The sequence below is a fragment of the Homo sapiens genome, chromosome 20, assembly GCF_000001405.40.
Source record: "Homo sapiens chromosome 20, GRCh38.p14 Primary Assembly".
Classification (NCBI taxonomy): Eukaryota; Metazoa; Chordata; class Mammalia; order Primates; family Hominidae; genus Homo; species Homo sapiens.
Window position 1 is genome coordinate 62,081,543 of NC_000020.11, and position 11,544 is coordinate 62,093,086.

At 48.6% G+C, this 11,544-nt stretch overlaps 2 annotated features.

The window, feature by feature from the left end:
- Positions 5,681-6,237: an enhancer, noted in NCBI's record as "H3K4me1 hESC enhancer chr20:60662279-60662835 (GRCh37/hg19 assembly coordinates)". NCBI's record gives its function as "activates a minimal SCP1, AML or CMV promoter by ChIP-STARR-seq in primed H9 embryonic stem cells {active_cell/tissue: H9 hESC(primed)}" and the evidence as "EXISTENCE:reporter gene assay evidence [ECO:0000049][PMID:30033119]".
- Positions 6,238-6,793: an enhancer, noted in NCBI's record as "H3K4me1 hESC enhancer chr20:60662836-60663391 (GRCh37/hg19 assembly coordinates)". NCBI's record gives its function as "activates a minimal SCP1, AML or CMV promoter by ChIP-STARR-seq in naive and primed H9 embryonic stem cells {active_cell/tissue: H9 hESC(naive and primed)}" and the evidence as "EXISTENCE:reporter gene assay evidence [ECO:0000049][PMID:30033119]".

Genomic DNA, 11,544 nt, shown 5'->3' on the forward strand with positions numbered 1-11,544 from the left:
GACTCACTGCAACCTCCGCCTCCCAGGTTTAAGTGATTCTCCTGCCTCAGCCTCCTGAGTAGCTGGGATTACAAGCGTGTACCACACGCCCGGCTAATTTTTGTATTTTCGGTAGAGACAGGGTTCCACCATGTTGGTCAGGCTGGTCTCGAACTCCTGACCTCGTGATTCGCCTGCCTTGGCCTCCCAAAGTGTTGGGATTACAGGCATGAGCCACCGTGCCTGGCCTCATAGCAGCATTATTTACGATAGCCAAGAGGTGGAAGCAACCCAACGGTCCAACTATAGATGAAATGGAGAAGGAAAATGTGCAGTGGAATATTATTAAGCCCTGAAAAGGAAGGAAATTCGGACACACCCTTCAGCAAGGATCAACCGTGAGGCTGCTATGCTGTGAAATAAGCCGGGCACAAAAAGGCGAATGCTGTGAGTCCACTTACATGAGTTATCGAAAGCACTCAAATTGACGGAAACAGACAGTAGAATGGTGGTTACCAGGCAAGGCAGGGAGGGTGAAATGGAGAGCTTTGAATGGGTGTAGAGTTTCAGTGTTTCAAGATGAACAAGTCCTGGGGATCTGTTGCACAGCAACGTGAATATGCTCACTGTTCCCCAACTTACACTTGAAACTGGTTATGATGGTAAATTTTGTCTTTATTCTTAACTACAATTTTTAAAAATGTTGATGAGAGACTGCTGATCTGGGAATTCAGGAAACGTGGGTTTTGGTCCACATTCTACCATTTCCTGGTGGCCTTAGGCAGGTCACTTGCCAGCTCTGGACTCTGGTTTCCTTCTCAAACAAAATAAGGGTTTTGTTTTAGGTTTTCCAGCTCAGAAAGCTGAGTCTGCTCAGAAGAGCTGGACATTCCCTCACTGTCTTTCATTCAAGTGTGACATATTCCGACAAGTGACATACATCAACACATTCTCTCAAACCAAACATACCTGATATGGTCTGGCTGTGTCCCCACCCAAAATCTCATGTTGAGTTGTAATCCCCATAATTCCCATAATCTCCACATATCAAGAGTGGGACCAGGTGGAGGTAACTGGATCACGGGGGTGGTTCCCCCCTGCTGTTCTTGCTACAACGAGTGAATCCCACGAGATCTGATGGTTTTATAAGCATCTGGCATTTCCCCTGCTGCACTCACTCCGTCGTCCTGCTGCCCTGTGAAGAAGGTGCCTGCTTCTCCTTTGCCTTCTACCATGATTGTAAGTTTCCTGAGGCCTCTCCAGCCATGCTCAACTGTGAGTCAATTCAACCTCTTTCCTTTATAAATTACCCTGTTGGCCTGGCGAGGTGGCTCATGCCTGTCATCCCAGCACTTTGGGAGGCGGAGGCAGGTGGATCAACTGAGGTCAGGAGTTTGAGACCAGCTTGGCTAACATGGTGAAACCCCGTCTCTACTAAAATAGAAAAATCAGCCAGGCGTGATGGCACATGCCTGTAATCCCAGCTACTCAGGAGGCTGAGGCAGGAGAATCACTTGAACCTGGGAGGCAAAGGTTGCAGTGAGCCAAGATCGTGCCACTGCACTCCAGCTTGGGCAACAAGAGTCAGATTCCATCTCAAAAAATAATAAAATAAAATAAATTACCCAGTTTTGGGTATTTTCTTATAGAAATGTGAGCATGAACTAATACAACACCCATCTAATGCTGTTAGATGAACAGGTTACCACGTCTGGCCAGCACTTACCTTTCACCTTTTTGACAGTAGCCTTTCTAACAGGCATTCGGGCATCCGTCTTACCCAATTTCAGTGTACGAGTAGCATTAAGTACATTCATAATGGTATCGCTGCCTCACCATCATCCATCTCTAGAGGCTTTTCATCTTTTAATTTTGTTTCAGAGACAGAGTCTCACTCTGTTGCCCAGGCTGGAGTGCACCTCTTTCTCTCTCCCTCTCTCTTTCTCTCCGTCTCTCTGCCTCTCTTTCTCTCTCCCCTTCTTCTTCTCTCCCTCCCTCTCTCCCCTTCTTTTTCTTTCCTTCCCTCTCTCCCCTCCTCTTTCTCCTTCTCTCTCTCTCTCTCTCTCTCCCTCTCTCTCCCTCTCTCCTGCTTCCGGATTGGGACACCTTTCCTCTGCCTGCCCTTGGACATCAGACTCCAGGTCGTTTGGCTTTGGGATCTGGGACTTGCAGTGGGGCCTCACAGGGCTCCTGGGTCTTTGGCCTCAGATTGGTGACTGCAATCTGAGGTTCCAAGTTCCAAGGCCTCCGGGCTTGGACTGAGCCCGCCGCCAGGCTCCCCGGTTCTCCGGCTTGCAGACTCCTTGACCTCTAGGAGACAAGTCCCCTATCAAACCCCTCACCTCTCCATGGCTCTGTCTCTCTGGAGAACCCTGGCTGAAGCACTCCTGGAAGCAGAGAGGAGAATGGTGGGCACCCAAGGGCAGGCGGGAAAGGGAAACCTCACTCAAAGGACAAGAAGTCTCTGCCGGATGGACAGCAGGGCGACTCGAGTGAGAAATAACGCATTACAGATTCCCAAACTGCCAAAAAGTGGGTTTGCCATTTTCTCACCACAGAGACAGGATAAGTTTGTGAGGTGATAGATGTATGAATTAGCCCGATTTGATCATCCGCCATGTATACATGTCTGAAAACATCACTTTGTACCCCATAAATATATACAATTATTTGTCAATAAAAAATAAAATCTTTGCAAACATGGTTAAGATGACACATTTTATGTCACATGTATTTTACCATAATAAAAAAAAATCAGAAAATAAATAAGTGCTAAGCGAAATAAGCAAGTCCTAAAAAGACAAATGCTGCGTGATGCCACTTAAATGAGAAAAATCTAAGGTAGTCAATTTGACAAGGCCGGGCGCGGTGACTCACTCCTGTAATCCCAGCACTTTGGGAGGCTGAAGTGGGAGGATCCCTTGAGCCCAGGAGTTGGAGACCTGCCATGGGCAACATGGTGAAACCCCATCTCTACAAAAAATACAAAAATTAGCCAGGCGTGGTGGCACCTGCCTGTGGTCCCAGCTACTCGGGAGGATGAGGCAGGAGAATCACTTGAGCCCAGGGAGGTCGAGGCTGCAGTGAGTTGAGATCGCACCACTGCACTCCAGCCTGGGTGACAGCGTGAGACCCTGTCTCAAATAAAATAATAAACATTAAAAAATTAAAGTGTTCAAATTTACAGAAACAGAAAGTAGAATGCGGTTACCAGGGATTGGGGAGAGGGAAAAGTGGGGAGCTGTTTTTTAATGGACATAAAGTTGCAGTTTTTCAAGATTGTCTATCTATAGATAAAGATATTGACAAAGATATAGATAAAGATATTGACATAGATATAGGTATTGATATAGATAAAGATATTGATATAGATATAGGTGTCTCCAAGTCCTGACAGCACGGTTCCTGCGAATGTGGCCTTATTTGGAAATAGGGTCTCTAGACGTAATTAAGGATGTTGAGATAAGATCATCCCGGACTAGAGTGGGCCCTAAATCCAGTGGCTGGAGTTCTTCTAAGAGGAGGCCGGGGGAGATTTGACACAGAAATACACAGCAGGAGCATCTTACAGACAGAGGCAGGGGCAGGTGCTGCTGCCCCCAGCCAAGGAGCGCCCAGGGTTGCCAAAGGCACCAGAAGCTAGGAGAGCCTGGGCCAGATTCTCCTCGGAGCCTCCAGAAGGAGCTGACACCCTGATTTTGGACTTCCAGCCTCCAGAACCGTGAGAGATGAAGGTCTGCTGTTTTAAGCCACCAGCTTGTGGTGATTTGTCACAGCAGCCCCAGGTCACGCTGAAGGCTCCTTGTTCAAATGTCACGGAGGATTTCAAGGCGGGGTCAGCAGATGCGGATGGGGCCTGGTGACTTGGAGGGGCTGAGTCTGGGAGGCCTGCCAGCGCCCCTGTGTTGGACTTGAGTCAGCCTGCAGAATTCTCAGGGTCTCTAGAGATGTGTGCTAGTTCACAGGGGAGGAGGAAGCCTGGACTGAGGGTGACTGAGGAACTGCACAGAGAGACACGCAGGGGTAGAGCCAGGCTGAAGAGGAGTCGCACTCCCTGCCAGTTCTCCTCTGGACGGTTGGATGTTTTTCTTCTACCTATGCACGTTACTTTTTTTTTTTTTTTGAAATGGAGTCTCGCTCTGTCACCCAAGCTGGAGTGCAGTGGCGCGATCTGGGCTCACTGCAAGCTCCGTCTTCTGGGTTCACGCCATTCTCCTGCCTCAGCCTCCCGAGTAGCTGGGACTACAGGCGCCCGCCACCACGCCCAGCTAATTCTTTGTATTTTCAGTAGAGATGGGGTTTCATCGTGTTAGCCAGGATGGTCTCGATCTCCTGACCTCGTGATCCACCCGCCTCGGCCTCCCAATGTGCTGGGATTACAGGCGTGAGCCACCGCACCCAGCCATGTTACTTTTTCAATGATGTTTTTAAAACCTCGTTTAAACAGCTTGGTTCCCTGTGAAGGAGTCTTTGGACGAGGAGGAGTGGCCGCCAGGAAGTTCGCATTTTGCATGATATTTTGATGTTTTACCAGGAGAAGATGGTCTTGTGTGATTTATGTCATCAAAATTATGTAAAATAAAAAGCCAGACCAGGTGCGGTGGCTCACGCCTGTAATTCCAGCACTTTGGGAGGCCAAGGAGGGTGGGTCACCTGAGGTCAGGAGTTTGAGACCAGGCTGGCCAACATGGTGAAACCCCATCTCCACTAAAAATACAAAAAATTAGCTGGGCATGGTGGCGCATACTTGTAATCCCAGCTACTCAGGAGGCTGAGGCAGGAGAATTGCTTGAACCCAAGAGGCGGAGGTTGCAGTGGGCAGAGGTTGCAGTGAGCCAAGATCGCACCATTGCACTCCAGCCTGGGCAACAGAGCAAGACTCTGTCTCAAAAAAAAGAACAACAATAACAACAAAAAACCCAGAAAATGAAAAAGAAATGCTGTTAATGAAGTTTGAACACTGATGGCAGAAAGACTCTGTGTCTTAAGATCAAGCGACTGCTGCATTTCAAACTGTCCACACTCCTCCAACTTCCCACACCACCGCAAAACCCTCTCTCCTGACCCTCCACCTTGGTCCCCACTCATCTGAGAAGGGAGAGGTTGTCAAACACCCTGGCCCTCTGCTCCCACCATGATGAGTGGATCTGCATCTGGTCTGTCCTTGCCTTCTTTCTGCCTGTTAGGACGGAGGAGGTGGACTTCTCTCCACCCATGGGATCCCTCGAGGGTGACATGGAAGCTGGGCACACAGAGAGACTGGGGTCACACAGAGGCGGGGGCCTGGGGTTTCACAGAGGCTGGACAGGCTTCCAGGGAGCAGAAATCAACCATCCTCATGGTGCCCTGCCCGGATCCCTGATCCACAGAAACAGAGAGGATAAAATGGTTGCTGTCTTACCTGCTAAGTTTGGGGGTGAGTGGTTGTGTGTCAGTAGGTAGCAGGCACCCCTCACTCTCTAACAACAACACCTCTGTCTCCACTTCTAGCCGTTGGGATTTACGAAGAAAGCTCAGTATTAATCACTGCTAGGCACAGAGCGCCTTGGAAAGGGAACCCCTCAGGTTCCCGCAGAAAAGTGTTTTAGGGGTCTCTGAGACCACCGGCCCATCCAGTAGGGAGCGGAGGCTCATAGCTCCTGAAGGCAGTAAAACCTGGGTAGGCACAGCAGCCAGTTCTTGCCTCAAGAAGGAAGGAGAGACACAGTCCTTGGGACCCCAGCCCAGCCAAGGTCGGGATGAGGGCAGCAGCCACATCCCTTCCAAGAATTTGGGGGTCTTTAAAGAACGACTGAGGATGTTACATTGGGTGGGGAGCCCACAGGCTGCAAAGGAAACAGACCCGAACGAACAACGCAACAGCTGTGTCCATTGCAACTCAGGCTGCGGCAAACATCTGAGAACCATCCAACCCTGCTGAGACCAGGGGCGGAGCCTGGCTTACCGCACCGGGACAAGCTGCTCTTGCCCAGCTTGCCCTGCTGGTTTGCCCCAGCCCCACGAAAGGCAAGAGGGGAGATGCAAAACACACTCACACACACTTCTGCTCCCAAGCACTCACTCTCATACTCATCTACACACGCACTCCCACATGTTCCTGTACACTCACCTGCACACGCACTCACACATGCTCCTATACGCTCACCTGCACACGCACACGCTCCTGTACACCCACCTGCACACGCACTCACACGCACTCCTGTACACTCACCTGCACGCTTACCCACACATGCTCTGTACACTCACCTGCATGCACTCACACGCGCTCCTATACACTCACCTGCACACGCACTCACACAAGCTCTTGTACACTCACCTGCACACGCACTCACACAAGCTCTTGTACACTCACTGCAGACTCACCCACACACGCTCCTGTACACTCACCTGCATGCACTCACATGTACTCCTGTACACTCACCTGCACACTCACCTGCACACGCACGCACACGTGCTCCTGTACACTCACCTGCATGCACACACATGCGCTCCTGTACGCTCACCTGCACTCACTCACATGCACTCCCGTACACTCACCTGCAGACGCACCCACACGCGCTCCTGTACACTCACCTGCATGCACACACACGCGCTCCTGTACACTCACCTACACACACTCACATGCACTCCTGTACACTAACGTATACATGCACTCACACACGCTCCTGTACACTCACCTGCACACACACATGCTCCTGTACACTCACCTGCACATACACACACACTCCTGTACACTCACCTGCATGCACTCACACACGCTCTTGTACACTCATCAGCACACACACTCACATGCACTCCTGTACACTCACCTGCACACGCATTCACACACGCTCCTGTACACTCACCTGCATGCACTCACATGTGCTCTTGTACATTCACCCGCACTCCTGTATACTCAGTTGCACACATACTCACACATCCTCCTGTGTGTATGACTGTGACTGTATATGTGAGCTATATGTACATGTGTGTTCACACACACACACACACACACACACAGATACAGTCATACACCACATAATGACGTTAGGGGCAACAACGGACTGCATATATAATGGTTGTCCCATAAGATAACAGTGGAGCTGAGAAATTCCTTTCTCCAAGTGACATCATAGCCGTCCTAGGGCAATGCATGACTCATGCTTGTAGTGACGTGGCTGTAAACAAACCTACTGACTCATGTTTGTGGTGACCTGGCTGTAAACAAACCTGTGTTGCCCTCACGTAGAAGTCTAGCACATATAATTATGCACAGCACATAATTCTTGGTTATGATAATAAACGTCTATGTTACTGGTTTATACGTTTACTATGCTATAATTTTTATTTTATTTTATTTATTTATTTTTTGGAAACAGGGTCTCACTCTGTTGCCCAGGCTGGAGTGAAGTGGCGCGATCTTGGCTCACTGAAACCTCTGTCTCCTGAGTTCAAGCCATTCTCCTGCCTCAGCCTTCTGAGTAGCTGGGATTACAGGTCCGCACCACCATGCCTGGCTAATTTTTGTATTTTTAATAGAGACAGGGTTTCACCACGTTGGCCAGGCTAGCCTCAACCTCCTGACCTCAAGTGATCCACCTGCCTCAGCTTTCCAGAGTGCTGGGATTATAGGTGTGAGCTACTGCGCCAGCCTATTTTATTTTATTTTTGAGACAGGGTCTTGCTCTGTCACCTAGGGTGGAGTGCAGTGGTCTGATCACAGCTCACTGCAGCCTCAAACTCCTGGGCTCAAGAGATCCTTCCACCTCTGCCTCCCAGGTAGCTGGGACTACAGGTACGTGCCACCATGCCTGGCTAATTTTTTTTTTCTGTCTTGTAGAGACAGGGTTTCACTATGTTGCCCAGGCTGATCTCAAACTCCTGGGCTCGAGCAATCCTCCCACCTCATCCTCCTAAAGTGCTGGGATTATAGGTTTGAGCCACTGCGCCCAGCCTTTATTGTTATTTTAGAGTGTACTCCTTCTACTTATTAAAAAAAAAATTAACTGTAAAGCAGTGAGGCAGGCCCTTCAGGAGGTATCCAGAAGAAGGCACTGTTATCACGGGAGAGGATGGCTCCTCCTAAGGACCTCCAAGTGGGGCAGGGTGTGGAGGTGGAGGACAGTGCCAGGGACAACCCTGACCCTGTGTAGGTCTAGGCTGACGTGTGTGCTTGTGTCTCACTTTTAAACAAGCAAGTTTTAAAAGTAAAAATAAAATAAAATAAAAGATTTTAAAAATTAGAAAGAGCTTATAAAATAAAAATATAAAGAAAAATATTTTCTTTATATTTTCCTGCACAATGTGTTCGTGTTTTTAGCTGTTAATACAAAAAAAATCAAAAAGTTTTTAAAAGCTTATAAAGTAAAAAAGTCGTAGTAAGCTAAGGTTAATTTATTATTGAGGAAAGAATATATATACACATATATATGTATACACATTATATATATTTTTGGAGATGGCATCTCACTCTGTCACCCAGGCTGGAGTCCAGCAGCACTATCTTAGCTCACTGCAGCCTCAAACTCCTGGGCTCAAGTAATTCTCCCACCTCAGCCTCCCAAGCAGCTGGGACTATAGGCATGTACCACCATGCCCAGCTGATATTTTTTATTATTATTATTTTTAGTAGAGATGAGGTTTCGCTATGTTGCCCAGGCTGGTCTCAAATTCCTGAGCTCAGGTGGTCCTCCTTCCTTGGCCTCCCAAAGTGCTGGGATTACAGACGTGAACCACTGCACCTGGCCAAAAAAAAAAAACCTATTTTTTATAAATGTAGTGTAGCCTAAGTGTATGGTGTTATAAAGCCAACAGTAGTTATAGCAATGTCCTAGGTCTTCACATTCACTCACTGACTCACACACAGCAACGGCCAGTCCTGCAAGCTCTATCCATGGTAAGTGCCCTACACAGGTGCCCTTTTTATCTTTGTATCACATTTTTACTTTAATTTTTCTTTTCTTTTCTTTTCTTTTCTTTTGAGACGGAGCCTCGCTCTGTCGCCCAGTCTGGAGTGCAATGGCGTGATCATGGCTCACTGCAACCTCCCCCTCCCAGGTTCAGGCGATTCTCCCTCCTCAGCCTCCTAAGTAGCTGGGATTACAGGTGCTCACCACCACGCCTGGCTAATTTTTGTATTTTTAGTAGAGACGGGGTTTCACCATTTGGCCACACTTGTCTTGAACTCCTGACCTCAGGTGATCCACCCACCTCGGCCTCCCAAAATGCTGAGATTACAGGTGTGAGCCACCATGTCCAGCCAACTGTAACTTTTCTGTCTAGATATGTCTAAATACAGAAATACATATTGCTGTCTTAGTCCATTTTCTGTTGCTTATAACAGAATACCTGAAACTGGGTATTTTTTTTTTTTTTTGAGACAGAGTTTAGCTCTGTCGCCCAGGCTGTAGTGCGGTGGCACAATCTCAGCTCACTGCAACCTCTGCCTCCCAGGTTCAAGCGATTCTCCTGCTCCAGCCTCCCGAATAGCTGGGATTACAGGCACCCGCCAAAATGCCCATGGAATTTTTGTGTTTTTAGTACAGATGAGGGGGGCGGGTTTCACTGCGTTAGCCAGGCTGGTCTTGAACTCCTGACCTCGTGATCCGCCCGCCTTGACCTCCCAAAGTGCTGGGATTACAAGCGTGAGCCACTGTGCCCAGCTGAAACTGGTTTATAAAGAAAAGAAATTTATTTCCTACAGTTCTGGAGGTTGGAAGTTCTACGTGGAGGGGATGCATCTGGTGAGGGCCCTCTTGCTGGTGGGGAACCTGCAAAGTCCTGAGGTGGTGCCGGCATCACACGGTGAAGGGCCTGAGCCTGCTAGCTCAGGTCTTTTCTTATTGCTAAGCCGCCAGTCCCATTCTTGTGATAATCCAGTAATCCACTAACTCATTAATTAATTCATGAATGAATTAATCCATTCCGAGGGCACAGCCCCCATGACTCAATCACCTTTTAAAGGCCACACCCCCAATATTACCACCCTGGGATCAAGCTTGTATGTGGGTTTGGAGGGGACAAGCAGTTGAGCTGCGGCACTTGCCTGGAGTGCTCACTGCAGTAGCATGCTGGCTCTACAGGCTGATAGACTAGGAGCAACAGGCTCTACCATACAGCCTATGTGGGTAGTAGGTTGTACCGTGCAGGTTCGTGTCAGCACACTCCATGATGTTTGCATAAGGACAAAGTTGCCTAACAATACATTTCTCAGGACATAGCCCCATCATTAAGTGTCTCAGGACATAGCCCCATCATTAAGTGACACATGATTGTATATGTATATACCTCCTATTGGCACCATTTCGCTGGAAAACCCTGATTAACACAGAAGGTGGTACCAAGAAGTGGGGTGCCACTGTGACAAATACCTAAAAATGCGGAAGCAGCATTGGAACTGGGTAGCGGTGTAGAGGCTGGAAGACTTGTGAAGTGCATGCTTGAAGAAGCCGAGATTGTCATGAAGGGATTTTAATGGTGATTCTGGTGAGGGCTCAGAAAACAAAGAGGACGCCAGAGCGAAAGCCTCTGTCTTCTTAGCGAATATGCAATCAATGACCAGATTGTTGGGAGAAACGTGCACAGTCGGGTCATTCTCATGCGGTCTCAGACGGAAATGAGGAACATGTTACTGGACAATGGAGAAAAGATGATCCTTATTATAAAGAGGCAGAGAACGTGGCTGAATCACGCTCATGTTCTAGTGTTACGGGAAAGGTAGAGAACTTGCCAGTGATGAAATTCGATTTGAGTTGAGGAGATTGCTAAGCAGTGTGAAAGGACTGGCTGGGTTCCTCCTGACTGCTTATAGCAAAACGTAAGAAGAGAGAAATGACTGATGAGGGAATTGCTAAGCAAAAAGTAACTAGAACTTAAAGATGTGGAAAATGGGCCGGGCGCGGTGGCTCACGTCTGTAATCCCAGCACTTTGGGAGGCCGAGGCGGGCGGATCACAAGGTCAGGAGATTGAGACCATCCTGGCCAACATGGTGAAACCTCATCTCTACTAAAAATACAAAAAATTAGCTGGGCGTGGTGGCTCACGGCTGTAATCCCAGCTACTCGGGAGGCTGAGGTGGGAGAATGTTGTGAACCCGGGAGGCAGAGTTTGCAGTGACCAGAGATCGTGTCACTGCACTCCAGCCTGGGTGACAGAGCGAGACTCCGTCTCACAAAAAAAAAAAAAAAAAAAAAAGATGTGGAAAATGGTCAGCTTATCCGTCCGTATTGCAACAAATGAGAAAGCATAGTTGACAAAGAAGACTAAGGGTGTAGTCATCAACCAGTGGATAAGGAGATTCGTGTGGGTGGGAACCTCAGACTGTCAGCCACCCGGTGGGAATACTGCAGCTTAAACTGAAGGGGAAGGAGACGGGAAGGAATGAAGGAATGAAGGAATTGGACTTCTTGGATTTAACGGGTCAGGACCATAGAGCTGCTCTGTGTGAACATGCTCCATTCTTCAAGACAGTGGAAGAATGACCCCATAGGTGAATCCGAGCTCATCACGGCTGCCTCCCAGGTTTCAAAAGGGGGGGTCTCACCTCACTTTCGGCAGACCAGATGACCTTTGCCCGAAGCCATGGG